Here is a 22,357-nt window from a genome sequence, read left to right as displayed (position 1 = left end):
AGATGGGGTTTCACCATGTTGGTCAGGATGGCCTCCATCTCCTAACCTCGTGATCTGCCCTCCTCAGCCTCCCAAAGTGCTAGGATTACAGGTGTGAGCCACTGCGCCCGGCCTGCAGCACCCATTTCATAGAGGTGACAGGGCTCCACAAGCCCCGGCACAGCCCTAAGCATGCCATGTGCTAGCCTGTCGGCTGTTGCCACTCCTTGAATCCTCCTCACTCTTGTCATGGCCTTCCAGATTCAGCCTCTGGCCTCAGAAAGGAAGATCAAATTTGAATGTCTGCTGGTGAGATGATACTGTCTCAGGCCCTTGACTCTGAGGACCACAGTGAGTTTCTTTGTGGTCTATGTGATAGTTTCTAGACCCAGAGCTGGCTCTCTAAGTCACTCGCCAGTTCTCACTAGCTGATCGGTTGGGCCACATGACATGTATGGCTGGACCTCCATGGTCTGGTAGACAGGGAAAGGCTGGCAACTCTGAGATAGGCCAGACTCCATGCTGTGGGAGCTCCAGGGGTGGCTGCTGTCATGACAACCACAGCTGGCTTCCCAAGGAGCACGGGACCCAGAGACACAGTAGGCAGCGGACCCTATGTGGTGGCCCAGGCCCAGGGCAAGCCAAATCTTCCTCTTCATTATTCTCCCGAGACCATCCCTGTTTTTGTGCAGACAAGAATGCAGTGCTGTTGGCTCAGGTCCTCTTTCTGGGGCAATTGACAGGGTGGTGACACTATGTTGGGACTCAAAAGGGAGCATGTCAGGTTCTGTGCATCTGTGTAAGTAAATGTGCCCATGTTCAAGGATGTGGCAGTCGCGTCCACCTGAGACAGCTGCAGGGAACATTAGCAAATGGACACAGAGAGAAAGGCCCAGGACCAGTGAAGATGGTCCCCTGTTCTGGTCCCCTTCCCTGAGAGGATGCTGAAGTCTGGTGGGGAAGAACTGTATGAGCACAGTGGTTGCTGGCTCTTGCATGAAAGACTGGTATAAATCCTGTGTGAGTCAAGGTGCTTCTGAGCCCAAACCAGTCACTGTTCCCAAAAAGGTATTTTGCATCTCACCTCTCTGTCTCTTAAGGGGGCCCATGTTTCAAGTGATGTGCAATATCCACTGACATACTAGCTCCGGGAAGACAGCAAATGTGCTGGGTTGATCAATATCGTACCCCCAGAGCCTGGAATAGTGCCTGGCATACTGTAGGTTCTCAGTAAATATTTGTGGAGTGAACAAATGAACGAATGGTGCAGAACTGAACTGGAGAGTCAGAGATTTTTTAAAAATGAATTGCAGGTATTGTGAGGAAACAGCACATGGGCTAGTTGCTTTCTCTGGCTCGCCTCTCTTCCCATCCTGAGCCAAAAAGTCTAAAAAAGACCAGATTCCAAACTCTTATTGAATGCATGCAGCATTGATCCTGAAGAAAACACAGGCTTCTGAAACTTCAGAAAAGGTCAAAAATATTCCCTTAAGAATCTTACAAGCAACAGAAAACAACATTGAGGATTCTATGCCTGGCCCCTTGAAGGCCCTCAATAAAGACACACTGGCTGGTTGACCAGTGGAGGAGATGGATAGCCAGCTGGAAGGCCAATGTTCCCACCAGCTCCTAGAATTCAGAATTGCATTAGGATATGGCCAACAGGAGCCCACTGGCCCACTTTTTTTTCCTCTGTAGCCCCGTGCTCCACAATGCACAAGGGAAAAAGTCACCCGAGACTACTCCTGCCCAGGTACAGCGGACAGGTGTGAGTGCATCTGGGGCAGGCTGCCCTGCCATCTGGGATCCTCTCTGTAACCCTGGTACCAGGGGGCTCCAGGTCCTCAGAGGGACACACTCCTCATCCCAAAGCTTCACACCAGGGCCAAGCCTTAGCTCCAGACAATGCCAGGGCCTGTCACACAGAGAAACATTACTGTTCTGAGAGACATGTCCCCTCCCCCAGCCCCATTCTTGATCCTGGACATTAAATATTTATGAGTTCTTTAAAAAAAAAAAAACCCACAAACCTCAAATAATGCAAGTTGTCTACCAGGCAGGGAGATTTCAAGATGATAAACATTATTTAGAAACACCATGATATGCTTCGTATTGTGATATGATTGGGGACCATATTAAAACCCGCCAAGGCTATTATACCTAATTTTTGTTTCAATTCAGGCAATATCGCCACTGCTTAATATGATTTCTATTTACTTTTTTCTATTGTTAGTATTTTATTGGGGTTGTGTCTGTTTTATCAAGCAGATCTCTTCTGAAAGGAAGGTCAGACTATGCTTGGACCTCGAGTTTTTCTCTCCTCTTTCTTTTAAAGGGGTTTCCATTATATTCTGCTTGGTCTGAATTCACTCAAAAACCCTCAATGCTAATGTAAACTCTTTTTCTTTACTCTTGTCCAATTACAATATTTCTACCGGCACAAAGCCTGACAGCTTGATATTTAAAAGTTATATAAACTCTCATCATCAAGTTTTATGTTCCCGTTTTTCTATGGTACCATTGGATTTGGGTGAGTGCTACATAAAATGTGTGCATTGAAGGGTTTCAAATCAAGTTATCTCCTCCATCTATAAAAATTGAATTTTAAAGGTTATTTTAATTATAAGTTTAAACCCAGGCGCTATTAATGACAGGGGCAGCCTCCTCCACCAAAGCGTTCATTCACCTTCTCCACAGGGTTGCGGCCGAGATGGGAAATCCTGTTATTTCCTGAATGAAATGCAATTTTGCAAAACAGGATATTATTTTTTAAAGTATTATACACTTTGCATAACTCTCTCTTCCTGGACTGGTCCAGGGAGGTGGGGGAAAGGGTGATCCGCGACTCTGTCCACTGCACTAGGTCTGCTCTTTGCACAACCAGCAGTAATCTTGCCCTATCGAGAGTTCAAAGGAAGAGATTATATCAACTTCTCAACTTCTTGAAGCCACATCGAACCCATCTGACTACTGGAAGTCAGGCAAGGATGTCCTATCACTGAATAATTTGGAGAAAAAATAATAAAGTAAGATCCAAATTTCAAACCTCATTTCTTCAGATTGCAATCTAAAGTCCTTTAGTTTAAGGGGGGAAAACATCATTGTTTTGTGGTCTCCTGTATTCTAAGTTTCTAAACATGTTATTGAAGCCATGATTGAAATCTGACAAAAACAGACTGCGTTTTATAATAATGTCCCGCAGCCAAAGTATGGCACCAATAGCTAAACAATACTTTATCACCTTTGCCACTTTCAACAGCTCCCATTAATATTGAGATCATAGTGTTCAGCCCTCTATTCCCCAGCTGACTGCCTTAGTGACAGCACTGGCTAAGGCAGTGACATTGAAAAATATTTGCCATGACATGGCCACAAATCACAGCCAGACAATTTTAAAACTCAATATTCACTAAACTTGCATCTGCTAGTTTCTTGTTCCAATTTCTAAAACATAATTATTATATGTTCCTTTCTCTGAAATTGCAGAACATAAATGGGTATATGTTAAGCAAAGGAGGAGGAGGTGATATTAAAATTAAATTCTGGGGGATGTCCAGCAGTGTCATTTAACAAGCCAGAAACTATCCCTGGAGCAGGAGCTGAGAACACAGACACTGTATGTGGTGAAAAGTACCTGTTTTCTGAGCTGTTCAGGATAGTCGCAGCAACGTGAACTCAGATTGCAATTACCTGTGGTCTGAGGTTCACTCGACAGCCTAATTTTATACGCATCGATTTTTATTTTCAGCTTTCTCAAGACGCTGAAGCAGATGTTGGTCCACTTGGCAATTGCCCCTAATTCACTTTACAGAGGCCATGGTCACCGTGGCAGAATGTGCCCCCACCTACCCTATTCCTGCTGCGCATGGCTAACCTCAGTGGAACCGTGCCAACTGTCTACATCTTGACCCCTGTTCAAGAATCAGGAGCCCGCAAAGTCTTGAAAGCGATGCCATTAACACTGGTTCCTAAGAGGAAAACCTTCCAAGAGACCCGGCATCCACATGCTTTGAACTAAAGCTGCTCCTCTTTGGGTGTGTCCCTGGCTGGGACTCTAAGCATTTTCAGCGCATAGAGTACTTATTTTTCTCTCTGTAGTCCTCATGCCTGCTACAGTAGCTGCCCCACAGCAGACACCTTGTAGGTGTGTACAGAATGGAGAACGAGCAACTATCCAAGACAGTAGATTATTGTATGAGAAGCTAGAGGATGCCCCTGGCTCTGCCACTAAGTCACCGTGGGACCTTGCCCAAGTGTCTGCCATTCACAGACCTTCAGTTCTCTTTGTCTACAGAATGAGGAGGTTGTATAGGATGATCTGGGGCCATTTCCAACACTCAAGTTCCACTTCATGAAGAAAATAAGTGCCATGTACAGAGACCACTGGAATCTGATGTGTTAAATGGTAAACACCATGGAGACCTTCTTACTCTGGGAGATGCTTAGACCATCCTCAGAGCCTGGAAACCATGGGGAACTGTTAACCATCTATTTTTCCTGTGTAGATACCTAGCTGGAGTTTTTTTTTCCTCCTGTATTTTTTTTTTTTTAAACAGAAAGGTGGCTCACCAACCCATTGGCTGTGAATATCAGCCTTGTGTATTGCGAAGTCCAATAAAATGAAGATTGGGAATTGTCCATTGGATTTAGAAATCCAGAAGCCATTGACAAATAAAAGCTATTTTAGTATATATAATAATACAACATGTGATATGACTTTTGCACCCTAAATTCACATTGGCACTAATCTACCACATTGGTGCCCATGACTCAAAGATGACCTTTCTTTTTTTTTTTTTGAGATGAAATCTTGCTCTTGCTCTGTCGCCCAGGCTGGAGTGCAGTGGTGCAATCTCGGCTCACTGCAAGCTCCACCTCCTAGGTTCAAGCAATTCTTCTGCCTCAGCCTCCCGAGTAGCTGGGACTACAGGCACCCACCATTATGCCCAGCTAACTTTTTTGTATTTTTAGTAGAGACGGGTTTTCACCATATTGGCCAGGCTGGTCTCAAACTCCTGACCTTGTGATCCACCCACCTCAGTCTCCCAAAGTGTTGGGATTACAGGTGTGAGCCACCACTCCCAGCCGACCCTTCTTGTTTACTTGTTTATATGCAGGATCAACAGGGACAGGAGCACTCATAGTGTGAAATGACCTCCTTTTGGGCAGGACTGTCTGTTGCAGCTATCCTGTCCCTGTCTTCCCATGGCATGCTGGGTCTGTGTCCTTTAGTTCCCAGGCCCCTGTGTGGAGGAACCATACCTGACTTTGATGACAAGATGGACTTCGAGCCTCAGTGTGACACTGTAATGGGATGAGACTTTTAGGGGAGGAAGTGAATGAGTCTTTTGCAGGTGGGAGGAATGTAAATTTTTGTAGCCAGAGGAAAAGCTGTAGTAGATTACATTTCCAAGGCAACAACATCCCCCCCGTCTACATGACCTTTTGCCCTGTGACCTTGCCACTTGTTCCTTCCCCACTCCCTCCACCCGACCTGTGTCAAGAGATGGAGCTCCCCACTGTTGGATCTGGACAGGCCTTGTGAACAAAAGTGTCAGGGGATGCTGTGAGGTCTTCCTAGGTGAGGTCCTTCCAAGGTGAGGTCATAAAATGCCTTTGTGGTTTCTGCTTTGTGTCTTGGTCCATTTCTTCTAGGAACCCAGCCACCATGCTGCAGAGAAGCCCAAACAGCCACATGGAGAGAGCCATGAGCTCTGAACTCCTAGCCATGTAAGAATATTTTGGACATTCCAGCTATCCCAGTGCCCCAGCCAACACCACGTAAAGCAGAATAATCACCCAGTCGACCCACAGAATCGTGAGAATGAGAAATTGTGAAATTGTGGTTTTTATGCCATTGCACTTGGGGTGGTTTGTTATACAGAAAGAGATAACAGAAACAAAGTTTGATCTAAATCATGGGTGTGTGTGTGTGTGTATATATATATATATATTCATTGTGACATTTATTCAACTTTCCTGTCTAATTAAAGATTTTCAAGATAAAAAGTTGAGAAAGAAACTCTTAAAGTCTCAGCTACCACAAGAAGGAATCAAACAACAGAACATACTCTGGGATGAGATAAAAAGATGCACCCAGAATTTCTAGAATTTCACGAAGCAAGAATGAGTAGACACAGAACAACCCCCTAATCCAAGAAATTGATGCAGAAGTCCAAGAAACCAGAAAAAGAGAGGAGTGGCCTCTCTGGGATGCCTTCTACGAGATTCCAAATATCTGGAAAAACATATCTGGGTGAAATGAAAACTTCATTTTGCGGGTGGTCTTTCTGTCCAGTTAACATCAGATACTGTTTCAAATACCCAGATGTTTGCCCTGTTATTCTGATTGGTTATAGCAGAAGCATTCACCGTACAGGTGGGAGGAGAAAGATTGGGTTCCTCCAAATCGCAAAACAGCTGTGCTGCAGCCCAGCAACATTCAGATATGTGATCGGTCCAACAATAAAGGATTGATTGAATAAGTGACAGCACTCTTAGAAAGAAAAAAATGGAAGACTCAGCAGCCAGGAAGAAGAGTGGAGAAGTCTACTAGATGGGCAAGATGTTCTTACAGTTCCAAATTGTTCACTCACTGCAAAAAGTGAGCTTTAAATCGATATGTAGAGCATAATCTCATTTTGTGGAAAGTAGACTTGTATACAAGGCACTTAGGAAAAGCCTGTAATGCAACATATCAAATACCTATCAGTATTTTGTAATTTTTAAATGGTGAACATGAGTTAATAAATAAGTAAGCAAGTAAATAAATAGAAGGATAAATGTTTGGCTAAATATTAGTATGAGTTTCTCTTTTTACTTCTACTGAGTACCTGGCCTTCTCTCTCTTTGGCCTGCATGAACGATTTGCTTCTGGGAAGATGAGAATTTGTTACAGAAGGAAGGAGATTACATTTCAATTCTAACCTTCAAAATAGAACTTTGCAACAGAACAAGGCACAAGGTTTTGTGACAGAGGAGATTTTTCTTGGTTCCTTGGGCTGGCCCTCAGCCAACCTGCATAGACGGGGCCCTGAAGGTGTAGTGAGGAAAGACAAGTAGAAAGAGGAGGGAGCTACCCTGCCCTTCCTTGGACCAGGGATGTGGGAAGGAGGCACACAGTGGTGGGTGTTGGGGAGATAAATATGTTGAGTCAAGGGACCCTGAGGGCAGAGGCTTTCACCCCACACTGGGAGGAGACCACCATTCAGGGGAGCCTGCACCAGCACAGGGTCACCCAGGCAAAGCACGGAGCAGTCAGACTGGAGGTGTCCACAGTGTTCCAAGTCTTGCTTGGTTCTGGTTTTTACAGACACTGTGCTGAGAGCCGTGGTCTTCCAGTGGAGTCCACCAGGCTGGTCTGCAGCACAGGCTCAAGAGACTGCACAGCAGGGTGGGTGTGGAGGGGGAGCTGGGTGGCTTCAACAGCAAACACTTCTCCTGCTTCTGGATGCCAGAAGTCTGAGGTCAAGGTGCTGGCAGATCCAGTGTTTCCTGAGGGCCGGATTCCGGGTTTGCAGATGGCTGTTTTCTCCCAGAGTGGAGAGAGAGAGAGAGAGGAAGAAAAACCCCTGGAGCCTCTTTGTATAAGGGCACTAATCCCATCCTGAGGGCTCCCCCACTCATGACCTAATCACCTCCTAATGGTAGCCCCTCCAAACAACATCGCATTGGGAGTTAGGCTTCAACGTATGAATTCTAGGGGGCCATAAACATTCAGTGCACAGCCCCAGGCAAGCCTGGATCCAAATGCTGGTGCCATTTCTTGGCTGTGAGGACTCAGACAAGCAATTTCATTTCTTCTGAGCCTCCATTTATTGAGCTGAAAACCAGGAGCACATGAGTTCTTTTGCAGTGTTAGTGTGACAACTAGGGCAGTGTGCACAGAGCACCGGCCGTGGCTTCCCAGGCACCTATCACTTTGCAGGTCTCAGTCCTGAGGCTTGGCCTGTGGCCCAGACATGCAGCAGGAAAAGCCCATGAACAAGAGACTCGGGTTCAAACCCAGACCACCACTGACCTGATGAGGCAGCACAAACAATTCCCTCAAAGCCCCTCTAGGCTTCAGTCCCCATGGCTGTAAAATGGCGAGTTTGTAATACCCGATCCCAAGGTTCCTTCCGTTTCTACCACCCACCACCCGAGGCCTCCTGCTGGGGCAGCTGCTGCATCCAAGGCCATCTAGGGCTGCCCAGGCAGTGTTCATGCCCCGACAAGATCGAGTTTCTTGGAAAGAGGCTGAGAGAGAACCAAAGAAATCCCTCTCTTTTCAACCCCAGCAAGAACATTTGGATTTTTACTGAAGGAGACAGATGACACATTTCAGAGGGGAGCTTGCACGCAATTGTCACGATTATGGAAAGAATCCTCTCATGTGAGACAGGCCTTTATGAATAAACTAAATACAGCTAATATTAAAGGTAATGGTGCAAATGATTGAATACTTGACAGTCCTACCCGCCAAATGGCCTCACGTGGGGAGGTAGGTTGGATAACCAGAGCTCAACCTGTAAAAAAGCAAATGCAAGTGATACTCCTGGGCAGGGGAGGATTTGAGCAAAGGGAAGGCTGCCATTCCTAGGAACCACAGGTTGGGCCAATGACCAAGAGTGACTGGCAACTTGCTGGAAGAGGCCCAGGCCAGGGCCTGCAAGACAAGAGAGGCTCGCCCACAGTTTGGAAGCCCCTTTCTCTCTGCGATGATGTATTTACCTTACCACAGTCTGATCGGTCACTGATGTGTTTGTTCTGTGTGTGAGTGTGACATCGAGACAGGGAGAGTTACCAACTCAGGTTCCACTAGGGGTCCACACACCGTCAACGTGCTAAGGGGCTGGGGCTTACACTGGCATGCTCCTGCATACCCTGCTCGTCTCCCGTGGCACCCCGCATGCCTTCCCAGCCACCCACCACACAAAGGAAACCTCAGTGACTATCCGAGCTGGTGGTGGGACATCACAGCGCCAAGATGCCATCGCACTCTGCGTTTGCTCTACTTGGTCCCTGGCCCAAGGAAACTGCTCCCCCATCAGATCCCTGGCCCAGGGAGTTATGAGGCCTGAGTCCCCAGCCCAGCACACTCCTTCCTTCCTGCTCGGGCTTGGGGGAGTGGGAATCAAAGCCCACACATGATTCGCAGGAACAATCAATGCCAAAAGAGAGGGAAATTCATATTTCCTCCTGCCCTTCTGTTACTGGCCACCAGCTAAAGTCCTGGAGCTCGAGATTGGATTGGAGCAGCATTGTTTTCTGAGACCCTGCCTAATCTCATAACTGAAAGGCTGCTATTGATCAGAACAAGGTCCCTCTTAGAAAGGTACGGAGGCATTTGACAGTCAATGCTGCTTCCCCTTCCCTGGCAACTTGGGTGTGCATTGGCCTCTCACCTGGTTCCTGCAACCATCTCTGCCTAGCCTGGTACCTCTAGTCCATTTTAGGCATAGCCACAACTATGCATTTCCTAAAAGACGCCCTCCCACCCTCCCCTGGGTGATGAGATGGTGAGGCTTCCTGTTACCCAGCAACGACAGAAGCTCCTTACCTGGTGCTCTGGGCCTCCACACTCAGGCATGTAGCTGTCTCCTCACTCTGCTCTCTCAATCCTCCCCATCCCGGACCTGCATGAATCCCTGCCCCATCAGTCTGGCCTCCTTGTTCTCTGTCCAGAACAACCTCCCACCTCTCAGTCCTACTGGACCCTGTGGATGGATGTCATCTGCCTCCCTTGCTGCCTGTCTGAACCCTACACACACTTGTCTGACCACCCCAATCCCGCCCTCACATCCTCAGCATACAGATGACAGTGACTGCCCCCCTTCACACTGGGCCTTCACAGCACCAGTCGCAGGTCCATCTGGAGACACCTGTTAAAGACGGCCTCGTGTGAACCTCTCACCCTCCTTATTTGTCAAACTGTGTCCCTGCTCTCTGAAGGTAGGGACCATTCACGTCATGTATTGCCACAGGACTGGCATGTATGCTGGTAGTTGATTCACAGCTCTTGATTTTTCTGACTGTCACCTCCACCCTCCAAAATGAAAAAGTTGTCTTTCTCCTTCGAACTCCCACAGTGTCTCTGCCTCACTTAGGACTCACAGCACATCTTAAAGAGTAAACACATGTCAACCGCTTGCTTGGATGATAGCAAGAGTTTAAGAAGTGTTGCTTATTATTGTTGTTGTTATTATTCCCTTACTAGAGTTAATAAACATGTTTTAGTTCTTCTATTCAATAGGCACTCACTTATTCATTCATCATTTAACAAATATTTATTCAGCACATACTATGTAAGACTTATAACTCCAGCACTGCTATCTGAATATCTCTGTACCTCCTGTGGAAATAGTAAATGTTCAGTAATTATTTGGTGGAGTGTGAATAAGTAGCCATATCTGATTTCCCATCTATTAGGTTGATGCAAAAAGTAATCTTTGCTACAACGGTGCCATTATGGCAAAAACCGCAATTACGTTTTGCGCCAACCTAATACCTTGTATGGAAAATGCATATGGCTTTGTAACCCAAAAACTTCCAAGTGGCTCAATGTCAGAATTGTCACAAGGAAACAGAATTCAGCAACCAAAAAGAATTCTAATCTTTGAGTGTCTCATATGACCTTAAAAAGAATCTACATTATTACCCTTACCAATGCTGCTTAGCAGGCACTTTCTTTTGGGTGCTCCAACCTTGGCAGGCTCTACAAATGTCTCAAAGCTTTTCATACTCTTCCTCTTCACTCTCAATTTCCATTCTGAACCTCTCTTTCCCTCTATGTTTTGGTTTGATTGCCCTGCCAAGCAGGTGCTAACTTTTCCTTTGAGGAGGAAAAATAGATGACTTAGAGATTCTATTTTATTTAGAATCATAGGGCCTGTTTACATGGCAGGGGCTCAAAATGTTAATGTTTGCAACCCCTGACGACTGAACTGTCCTGTGAGGTTCTATCCTATTGAAAATCTTAACTCTTTCTTTTAATGAAATACAAGACTAGGCTTATTTTTAACAATCTCTAAAGCAAATTGATAAAGGCATGGAACACATATAGGATTACTAAGATAAATATTCTAGAAATAAACACCTTTTAAAAAAAGTTTTACGCCTTTTAAAAAAAGAGTCAACAAAACTGTTGTGTGGATGCATGTTGTTTAGGACACTGCTGGTTGTGTTTCAGGGTGGCTTGCTTCATTTGGAACTGCCCAAGACCACTGGGGAATTAAAATGATATCTTAGTGGATAGTAGTATAGATAGACTGGGAGTCCCAGGTATAAAACATGGGCCTCAAAGGGAGTGTATTCTAAGGATGGTTTAGTTATCTGCAAGGTAGTCTTATGATTTCTGATGTTTTAGTATCTATTTTTCCTTTTTTTTTTTTTTTTGAGACGGAGTCTTGCTCTGTCGCCTGGGCTGGAGTGCAGTGGCACGATCTTGGCTCACCGCAACCTCCGCCTCCTGGGTTCAAGAAATTTGCCTGCCTCAGCCTCTTGAGTAGCTGGGACTACAGACGCGTGCCACCACACCCAGCTAATTTTGGTATTTTTAGTAGAGACGGGGTTTCACCATGTTGGCCAGGGTGGTCTTGAACTCCTGAGCTTGTGATCCACCTGCCTCAGCCTCCCAAAGTGCTGGGATTAGAGGCATGAACCACCCCGCCTAGCCTAGTATCTATTTTTCTACTCAGACATTCTATAAGAATTTATCTTTTTGTTATTTTTAAATTTTCACCATTTTACGGACTTTTAAAAAATGTGTAACGTGTTTAGTACAGTTGAAAGGAAAATGGGAATGAAAACTCCATAGAAACAGAGACTTGTCTGACTCATCCACCGCAGCCCCTCAGTACCCACACGGCCTGGAAAATGGATGCGTGGATGGAGAAAGCTGGCTCCAAAGTAGGAACATGCTTAAAACTTTCAAAAGTCTTAAATTCAAAAAGAACAAACCAAAAAAACTTAGACCTTTTCAATCACCAAATTATCTAATTAATAAGAAACAGTAAAGACAAGGAAGACTTTTTAAATTAGACTTTCAAAAATCAAGCTGTGATTGGTCCCAAGCTATCAAACTAGGAGTGTGAAAGGAGAAGCTTAGTAATAACAAAATAATACTATCCAACATGTACGTGCCAAACACTGTTCTAAGTGCCATACATGTATGAACTCAATCCCCCTAACAGTGCTGCAATCTGGGTATTATGATTATCTCTGTCTCAGTATATGGAGAAATTATGACCCAAAGAGGTTCAGTCACTTGGCCAAGATCATACAGCTAGCAAGTAGGGAGCTGGTATTCAAACCCAGAAATCTACCCCAAAGCCTGAGCTCCTAACCACTTTGCAATGCTGCCCAGACTGCCCCAAATTAGAGCTGTCTAACGATAATGTGGGTTCCCTGGAGCAAGAGGAAGCTCCTCAGTGCTTATAAGTATTTGAGCAGGAATATTATAGAGGAAATTTAGGTGTTTCTTTGGAGGAGAAAGATTTCAACTAAATGACTTTTATGGTCTCTCTCAACCCTGAGATCCATGACTCTAAGAAGGATGGTGTCTGATTTCTCTAACATGTTGTTTCTAAATTCACTTTTTCCTTCACTGCACCCAATATGCTTGGGTTTACATGAATGAATCCATATAACTGGGTAATACATTTGGGAAGAAAAAAAGAAAATTGATTCTCCCGGATGAATACCTACAGATACCAAAATTTGCCAGACACTTGCCAAGCTTCCAAATTAACCAAGACCCGCCCCGCTACAGAGGTCAAGCCAGGAGGAGCTCTCCAACCACCACCCCCACCCACCCCCCGCAAGAGACTGCCAACCCAAACACCACGGGCATCTCGGATAAGCATTACAATACATTACGGAAGCCCGCCAGAGTCCTTGGAAACAAACTTTGGCAGATGCAAAAAACTTTGCCAGGTAACTTTTGAGGTCTAGGTGTCCCTGGATGCTTTTTCTTAGGTTCCTTGGCCCAACCCAGAAAAATTTCCAAGCTGCGCTTGTGTTCAGCTGTTCCTGATATGCTCCAATAAGTGTGCTTTCGACACATTGTTAACATAAGGCCAGATCTGCAATACAGCATGGACAATTAAGTGCACAATTTTTGTATAAATGCAAAATCCCTCACTGTGAATTATTTAATTAATGCTCTCCAGTTCATTTAATAGAGCTCTTTCAGAGGCCATTTCACTCACAGAAAACTAATTTCATTCTCCGGGTTGATTTAATTAGATTGTATGATATATGGTATTGCTAATTCAGCGGCTCCGGACGCAGCGTCTGGGCCCGTTGCTCCTATTGTCGGCAATCTGTCAGCCCCATTTTTAACAGTATTGAAAAATTCAAGCTTTATTATTGCTCGCTCACTCTTTCTCTCCCATCAGGAGGAAAGTAATGAGCTTTTCTTCTTACGAGAGCCGGCAGAGAGCGCAGTACCCTCGGCGCTTCAGGCATGAGGCAGTATTAACAGGGCTGATTCATGAGTTAAGTTTCCAACTGCTCGTGGCTATTAGCACTCAGTCCTTTGGCTGTCATTTAGTTAAAAAGACTCTTCGGTTAATTCACTCTTTTAATGAGACTGTGCTATTCAACTAATGTATTTTACTGTATGAAAGGTCACACCAGGAACCAAAACAGATTGGAGGGAATGTAGCAAGAAGCCTGGCTGTCAAGAAACAATTCAAGCCTCCGAGGCATTTAGCAGCCTCTGCGTCTGTAATAAGCTACGGAACTGATGGGCCAGCATTCACCTCCAGAGTTGAGCACCATAAATCAAGGCCAAAGAGAAGGCAGATTAATCAGAGGCTCAGACAAAAAGAGCACGTGTTTCATTACCCATATAATCACTAACATGATTGCCAGACAAGCTAAGGAACTGGATGCGGGACTGGAAAAATATAGTTCAAGAGAGCGCTGGAACTCAGTTCTGTTTAGCTGCAAGCACTAAATCTTTTCATTAAGGCCCAGTTGCCTCCATTTTCTGATTCGGCGCTGGTGGGATTGGGGAGAGAGGAGGAGCATCAGAGGTTTGATGGTGGGTTTGAAGGGACAGGCGTGGTTGGAGAGGGAAGCCGTGCTAGGTGGGGTAAGTGCTAAGTAGGTGGTTTGTATAGCCTTGAAATGCAATAGGGGTCCAAGCTGGCAGAAGGGTCCAGCTATGCTGGGCTGCCTCAGGTCTAGAGGGAGGTTCCAGGCCCGTCCTCCTCCTGGAAGCTCATTGAGAAGAATAACAGGACCAGATTCATGGCTTTCACTCAGCCCTTCCTTTCTTTGGGTTGAAACACACACACACACACACACACACACACACACACACACACTGTCTTACCTTCTGTGAGTGGGAGGGTGTCAGTGCCTCTTCAGATGTCTGCTTTTTGATATTAACCACTTGCTGGCCCGTGTCAGCAGAAAGGCTCTGTATAGATGTCGTTTAGCGGGAATTCCTAAAGCCCTCCCCTCCCTCTAAGGCCTCCAGAGACCACCCTACCTTCTAGGTCACAAATGAGATGTCTTCTAGGTCACAAATGAGATGTCTGAACCTTTATACCTGCTGGTCTCCAGCTAAAACATATCTTTGGCAATGATTTGCAGATGACTTCCATGGTTCCCAACGTGGACAAATCACAAGAAGCTGCCCTCCCTTGGCATTGGAACCCACTCCTCCCCAGATTTCTCTGTGTGGATCCTTCTTCCAGTTACTGTCATTGGGAAGCTGAGCCACTAACACCTAGGTGGGGAGTAAGAATATTTTCTTTAGAACTCGAGCTTCCTCCAATGGAACAAATCCTGCCAATTTGAAATTCCTCCAGCTCTCCAAAACAAGGAAACCGTATGCTTAATTACCAAACATCTGTTGCCGAGAACACCCCCTCGCCTTTGCAGCTCTGATCTCACGGTATGAATTTTAAAATCTGTCAGCAAGGGATCACAAAAGCTCCGGGAGCAAAGAGCTGCTCATGTTAACCTCTGAACCAGATAATCTAACAGTAATCCATTCAGAACTAATCAAACATTTACAGAACCGCACCGGCATCCTGGCAAACAATTCGTCATCTTCACGCGCTCATTACACTTCCAACATCTCAATCTACCTATGCAAATGAAGCAAGGGAGCTGACATCGGGACCATGTACAGAAATTATAAACAAATATTCATCCATTATGCTGCTGAAATTTAACAGCTGAAGTACTAACAGTAGCTGAACTTCAAGCCTTGAGTATCAATTATTTATGAACCTAAAACTGACAGGACTGTGTAGGTGAATTAGCTGCATATGTCAAGCTTTGTTATAAATCCCAACCTACTGTAAAACTCATTTTCATAGAATGTAGGTACAAGGCTGACAATATATCAACAGCACGGCATTAATAATTTAGAAGAATGAGACTGTCAGGGAACACCTTGCAAACTGTGCTCTGCTCCATAGTTGATATTACAAATAAAAAAGTCAAATAAAATGAATTTCCCATAAACAGAGAATCAAATAAAGCATTTTCTCCATAATTTTATTTTCAATTTTCAAAAACATATCGGTTGATACTTTCATGTTTAGGTACTAGAAGCATCACCCTAAATTTTCTTAATTTCTTCTTTTTTTTCCTCCCAAGGAAATGGCAGGAAAATTTTTGATCTAGTGATAAATGAGAGGTTTCCTTGTCTTTTATTTTTATGACAAAATAAATGCAAAATGAAAAGGAGCTGGAACAAGCATAATGTTGTTTGCTGAAGTGAAATTGTTTGCTATGGTTTGCCAATGAAAGTATATAATAAAACAAAGTGCTATGCAGTAATAAAGACGGTTAATTGAGACAGTATTTCTCGAGCTCATGTTAGGATTTTCCTGTCACTCTCTATTCAGAAATGCAGAAGCGCAGCCAGTTGCGAAATCACAGCGACTTGCTCAATTTGCAGTGTGCGATCTTCTCCTGCAGGGCTCCAACCTGAATATGCCAACAGAGAGGGCAGAAAATTCCCTGGCCAGGCTGTGGAAGGTGCGGACTGGAGGCTGCGCTGTCTTGAACCTCTGCCATCTCAGATAAAATAGCCCAAGGCACAGTCCCATCTCCCTGCCGGTCTCCCCTTCCCTCTCCCTCACTGCCAGCTTTAACCTTAGCAATCATTTTTAGGCGACTGATGCTCAACTACGGAGACCCTTTGTCACTGCTAATGACTTCTCCCTGTCCATCTTCTCCCGACTCGGGATATCTATGGCTCTGTTGCCACATTTGTCATCTCTGGCCAGGGAGGAGGCATCTCTCAGTGCGAGGGGGAACTTCAGCCTGTGTTCTTGGTCCTGGGTACCTGCTAGATGCAAAGCTTCAGCCCTCTTTGGGCGAGGAGACATGAAACACTTCGTCTCCTCTCTCATCCTCCGCTCTCCACATTCTTGGTCTTTAAGGTCAGGGGAACGGAGCCTCCTTGTCTCCAACCCCTCTTCCACGTTGGCATCTCTGCTGGCTGGGACATTCCTCACACCTTCCCAAGGTGAGGCCCCTCCTGAAGCACAGAAGCCCTGGCCAGGTGAGCCGAAGCAGCTCAGCCAACCAGACCTAAGCACGCATTAGCTCCTAATGGGCGACCTGTTCCAATTTCCTGCCTCCCTCCCACCCAGGAGCCAAACAAATCAGAAATAGTTGTCAGCAGCCTGTAGCTCCCCTCATCTCCATGAGGCTCAAGTAAAAATTAAACATTTCTCCCCAACTCACAGCCCAAAGACATAGGCCACGATTTGAAATCTGGTGACAGAGTCCTTATCTGGGTTTCCACCCAGAGGCTGAGCCTGTGTTGTCACAGGTGGAGGTTCCTGCAGGAGACACCTGAGCGCCTTCCAAAGTCTCTGCGGGCAAAGCCTGCATCCTTCCTGGTACTTGCTGATGTCCATACATTTTCTTCTCTGCAACCTTTCAGGGCATCGTTAAGCTTGCCAAGTTCTTCCAAATGGCCTTTAGTGGAGGGAACCCTGGCAAGGAGTTTTTTTTTTTTTTTTTTTTTTTTTTTAGATACTACATGAAATTACACTCTACAAAGTAGCTCCTTAGACACCCTGCTGGGGCTGGGGAAATTCTCATTTGTGAATGCTCCTTCTGCTGCGTAGGTAGAAAAGACAGCAACCCATTTTCTTCTCTTTAATCCTGATGCCAATGAGAAGGAGAAAGCTGTTCCTCCACGTGCCCCAGACAGGGCCTAAACACACGCTAGCTTCCACGGCCACCACTCTGCCCCTCGCAAACACACTCAATTTATTGTGGTCAAAGCAAGAGAAGTCTCCCTTTCCCTTTATAGGTAAATTCCCCATGACCAAAGTGACAGAAACGTGAGCAGGCAACAGTGTGACTGGCCTGGTTTTGGACCATTCTGCTCCCTTGAAAAATTACCCTGGAAAGTTAATTGATTAGAATGTCTAGGAAATGCTTGCTGTTATTCAAATGACTGTGAAAGTAGCCTCTAATGTTTCCAGTTTTATGAAATGCTAAAATATTTACACTCTTTTTACTTCAATCAAGGGGAAATCATTTGGATCTGTTTAAAAGGGGAAAGAATTAAGAGAGCTGACATTTCCGGAAGAAACAACGTTCAGGCATGCAACTGGAATTTAAATGAGTATCTGCTTTCGATGCTGACAGCAGGAGCCTTCCCTCCCATATGCCCGCAACTGCACACTCAAACCTCAGGTAGCACAGAAAAGACCAGCGCTCCGACTCCTGGGGCCAGTGGTGCTGGATTTTATTTGCACTTTTCTGGGTTTAAATATTTTGAGAATTTTTTTAAAAAGCATTTCTCTCTTCTCTGTTTATGATTCCCATTGGCTTGCACTTTTTCCTTCCGGTGTTTCATTCAGCAGAAGGGAAGGAGAGGGGTCGTTAGTTTATTCCCAAGAACAGCTAAAAGCATCACAGGAGTTATGGGCGCTGTGTTCTATGGAAGAGGAAAATATATATTTTGGTCTTGAAAGTTATTGCTTCAATTACCTAGTAATTTCTTAAGCAACCTCTGGGTGGGCTTTTAAGAGGTGGGTTTGAGAGACGCCTACAGAGACACTGTCCCTGAGTTTTTCCATTTAAACTTGTCAGAGTAGAGGTAAAGTGCCCTTTTCCATGTTAACGGTGTACAGGAGACCACCAGGAAAAGCTGGCATGTCCAGGGCACCGGGCCCTAAACTTGTCTCTAGCTGTGATTTTACAAAAACGTCAAAAGATGTTCACAGCAGCACCACTCATAATACACGAAAGGTGGAGAGAGCCCAAATATCCATCAACTAATGAATGGATAAAGAAAATGTTGTAAATCCACACAATGGAATATTATTCAACCATAAAAAGGATTGAAGTACCAACACATGCCACAGTGTGGCCGCACTGTGAAAACACTATGCTAAGTGAAAGAAGACAAACACAAAAAGTCACAATAGTGTGGGATTCCATTTACATGAAATATCCAGAATAGGTAAATCCATAGAGACAGCAGACCAGGGGTGGGGGGAGGAGGAAATGGGGAGTGATGGTTTATAGATATGGGGTTTTATTTAGGTGTGATGAGAATGTTTTGGAATTAGATGGAGATGGTGGCTGCAGAATCTCGTAAATGTGCTAAAATGCCACTGAATTGGTCACATTAAAATGGTTAATTTTATATCATGTAAATTTCACAAAAAATTTTTAGGTATCATCAATTGTTATTAATGAATGGAAGAAGAAACTAAGGTGATGGTCAGGTTCTCCTGGTGGTCATTCAAGGGCCAGCACTCGCTCGGGGTCGGGAGCATCTCCTTGCTCAGCGGGACCTCCCTGACTGACACCTTTGCCCCAAGACATCCTGTGTTCTGTTTGCTGGTTTAGCACTTTAAAATACATTTGTTAAATTTTACTATGGTAAGAACATGTAACATGAGATCTACCCTTGTAACAATCTTTTTTTTTTAGATGGAGTCTCTGTCACCCAGGCTGGAGTGCAGTGGTGCGATCTTGGCTCACTGCAACCTCCATCTCCAGGGTTCAAGCCATTCTCCCTGCCTCAGCCTCCTGAGTAGCTTGGATTACAGGTGCACACCACCATGCCTGGTTAATTTTTGTATTGTTAGTAGAGATGGGGTTTCACCATGTTGGTCAGGCTGGTCTCGAACTCCCGACCTCAGGGATCACCTCAGGGATCCACCCATCTTGGTCTCCCAAAGTGCTGGGATTACAGGTATGAGCCACTGCACCTGGCCCCTCGTAACAAATTTCTAAGTGTACAATATAGTATTAGTAACCACCAGCATGATGGGCAGCTTACTCTACTTATTCAGCTTGCATAATTGATGCTTTATGCCCATTGATCAGCAATTTTCCCACTTCCTCCTCCCCCCAGCCTCAGGTAACCATCATTCTACTCTGATTTTATGACATTAACTATTTTGAATTCCTCATATAAGTGGAATTTTATAGTATTTGTCCATGTTGTTGCATATGGCAGGATTCCCTTCTTTAAGGCTGAATAGTATTCTATTGTATGTATACATCACATGTTCTTTATCCATATATCTATCCATGGACATAAGTTGTTTTCACATCTTAGCTATTGTGAATAACACTGCAATGCACATTGAGGTGCTACTATCTCTTTGAGATTTTGATTTCAATTCTTCCTAATACTCAGAAATGGATTACTGGATCATATGGTAATTCAATTTTCAATTTTCCATTTTTTGAGGAACCTCCATGATTTTCTCCACACTGGTTGCACCATTTTGCTTTCCCACCAACAGTGCACAAGAGCTTCAATTTCTCCACATCCTCACCAGCCCTTGTCTTTTATGTTGGTTTAGCTCTTTACATGTCAGGACACAGACACTCTCAGGTGACCTTAAGCAGTGTCCAGGAGGATGACAGGAACAGTGATGGCACCACCTGGCGTCACAGAGGCATGCCTAACTTGGGAAAAGAAGGTCAATCAGGACACCTCTAAGCTTGAGCCACCTGGTGACCGTGGTAGCTCAGAGACAACATCAATTCATCCTGACTCGAGGGCTCCCACATTATGACAACTCAGCAATGCTCTGCTCCTACTGCCCCTTATGCAGGATTTCTGCTAGCTCATGGCTTCCACCCCTCCATGGGTCCTCCCTCTGCCTTCTCCATTTCTTTGTTTCTGTTCTCTAGAATGAACCATCAGCCCATTATTCTCTGTATATCTTGAGTTCCAGCACCTTGCCATAGCCTCCAGTTTGTTCATCAATTACCACCATCTCTGTTGGGGAAAGGCATCACATCTGGGATATAACAGGGCCTATGCATTGGGTGCCTGACCAAGTTAGCTGAAGCCAATTCGGTGAAACCACAGGCTCATCTGACTGGATGACCCTCGAGAGGGCCCAGATCTCATTAGCCGCATGTTTGATGGCGCCTCTGTGCAGCCTCCTCCTTGGGACAGCCTCATTTTCACACTCCCTGTTCTTTGTGCACTTTGGCAAAAGCCAGAATGCTCCATTTAAAATGTTTTGGATCTTGGTGTTGATTTTGTCTAAGTCTGTGGTTGTGCAGTACCCACCACTCTGGCCACCCTTGCCCAGCTGGGAGAAATGTGAAAACAGCTGCCTGGGATCCTAAGGTCCAGGCCAAGTGACTGTTGTTAGTCAGCCATTGTCATCAGAGGAAACCCAGGCCCTGAGCTTCCTACAGAGCCAGACTGCAGCAAGGTGGTGACAGCGAGGCCTTTCTTCAGGGAACATTTCATTTGGGCCTTTCAAATCACAGAAACCCAAGCAGACCTTGCTAAGGCAAAATGGAGGAGATGTGAGCTCCCAGAATCAAATGAAGAGCAGGCTGCAGCCAGGCCTCTGGGACAGGCTGGAGGCAGATAGCCCAGTGACTCCAGGACCCTCTCCCCATCTTCTCTACGTGTGAGGACCAGCCCACTCTTTCGCCTTACAGATTCATTTCTTCCAGGTAGTTGGAAATATAACCACTAAATACTCTTATGTTTTACTTACACTGATGAGATACCATCCTGAATCTGTACCCGGGGGAGCCACTCATCAGCCCAGCTTGGGTCAAGTGCCCACTTCTAGACTGTTGAGCCATGACTGGTGGCAGGGTCACTGGAGAAGAGAAGCTGTTCTAGAAGAAAGATGCTTTACAGACAATTCCAAGTATACAGCTCAGCTGGGCTTCAGGGCCTAAATTTCTGGCTCAAATCCTAGCTTCACAATTTTTGAGCTGTGTGACCTCGGCGAGTTATTTAACCTTGCTGTGCCTCAAGTTCCTCATCTACAATAAGACCCTGTGGCTTAGGGTTATTAAGAGGATGAAATTAGGTATCACATGCACCGTGTGTGGAACGGTGCCTGGCACACAGTGAGAGCTTCATGCTATCTATTATTATTTTGTCAACTGTAACCCTGAAAGGCAAGTCAGGCAAGTAAAGAATAGACAAGGTATTCCCAGGGGGACCACAGTGTGCAAAAGCCAGGTGACAAGACAGAGAAGGGGGCTTCACAGAAGCATGAGAGATGCCACTGGGCTGGCGGTTAGAATTGATGGGTGGGGTACAGAACTGAGGCACTGGCTTAGATGGGGCCGGAAAGGTGAAGGGGAGGCCAGAGCACAAAGGGCCTTGAAGGTCTTCTAATGAGTGGTCCAGCTCTGCCTCTGCCTTCAGGAAGGCACTGGAGCTCAAGACCAAGTTCCACAGCTCCCTTCCTTCCTATCTCCCCAGCAGGAAAGTCTTCCTCACTAGCCCCACTGGGCTCCAAGTTGCTCATTGCAGGGGAGTGAGGAAGAGCTGCTGTCACAGGATGGTTTCCTGGGAAACAGAAGATGCAGAGCAGAGATTTGTGGGCAGGTTTTCTGGAGACAGCTCTCAGCATCGACACCTGTACAGGAGTGGCTGAGGCTGGGGGGATGGAGGGAGGAATGGAGCTGTGAGTCACCACAGGGACCTTAGCCTACCCCACAAGAGCGCTGCAGCTGGATTGGCCCTGCAGAATTGTTCCAAGTTGAGCTAAGGGAATTGGGCTTTGTACCCACTCACTGACCATTCACTGGATGTGCATTTCACCTTGGGCTGGGCAGGCCAAGTGCATTTCTCAGAGAAGAATCCAACTATGAGCTGCCAACAGCCCACACCCCCAGACGCTGGAAAGGAAGGGGACTGGCCACACGCCACAGTGTCCACTGTGCTTTTATCTAGACCAGTGCTCAGCAAACTCTTCCTTAAAGGGCCAGGTAGTAAATATTTTAGGCTTTGAAGACCAATAGGCAAAATCAGTTACTTATATAATCATTTTAAACTCTAAGTCAGATTTGGCCTATGAGCCATAGTTTGAAGACCCCTCATCTAGATCTATGTTGTCCAAAACGACTGCCACTAGTGGTGGCATTACAAGTTACTAACCCTCATAAAGCC

General features: G+C 45.5%; 1 long non-coding RNA gene across 5 annotated transcripts in view, besides 2 other annotated features; it reads right to left on the bottom strand.

Annotated features, from left to right (window-relative positions):
- LINC02641 (long intergenic non-protein coding RNA 2641) overlaps nucleotides 1–22,357 on the bottom strand; it is a 214,291-nt gene that overhangs the window by 118,741 nt on the left and 73,193 nt on the right. For 2 of the 5 annotated variants that reach the window (XR_001747617.3, XR_001747619.3), the window contains exon 1: nucleotides 14,303–14,419. The exons of the other annotated variants lie outside the window; for them this stretch is intronic. This is a non-coding gene — a long non-coding RNA (long intergenic non-protein coding RNA 2641). Of the gene's footprint in view, nucleotides 1–14,302; nucleotides 14,420–22,357 lie in introns of those variants that run through there. 5 annotated transcript variants of the gene reach the window in all.
- Nucleotides 8,568–8,753: a silencer, noted in NCBI's record as "fragment chr10:125194236-125194421 (GRCh37/hg19 assembly coordinates)". NCBI's record gives its function as "represses an EF-1alpha promoter that drives an FKBP-Casp9 reporter gene in an ReSE screen in K562 erythroleukemia cells {active_cell/tissue: K562}" and the evidence as "EXISTENCE:reporter gene assay evidence [ECO:0000049][PMID:32094911]".
- Nucleotides 12,914–14,002: an enhancer, noted in NCBI's record as "VISTA enhancer hs578". NCBI's record gives its function as "enhancer in: neural tube[6/7]" and the evidence as "EXISTENCE:transgenic organism evidence [ECO:0001131][PMID:17130149]".

This window comes from Homo sapiens, chromosome 10, assembly GCF_000001405.40.
Source record: "Homo sapiens chromosome 10, GRCh38.p14 Primary Assembly".
Taxonomy (NCBI): Eukaryota; Metazoa; Chordata; class Mammalia; order Primates; family Hominidae; genus Homo; species Homo sapiens.
This window is presented reverse-complemented; position numbering and strand designations above follow the sequence as displayed.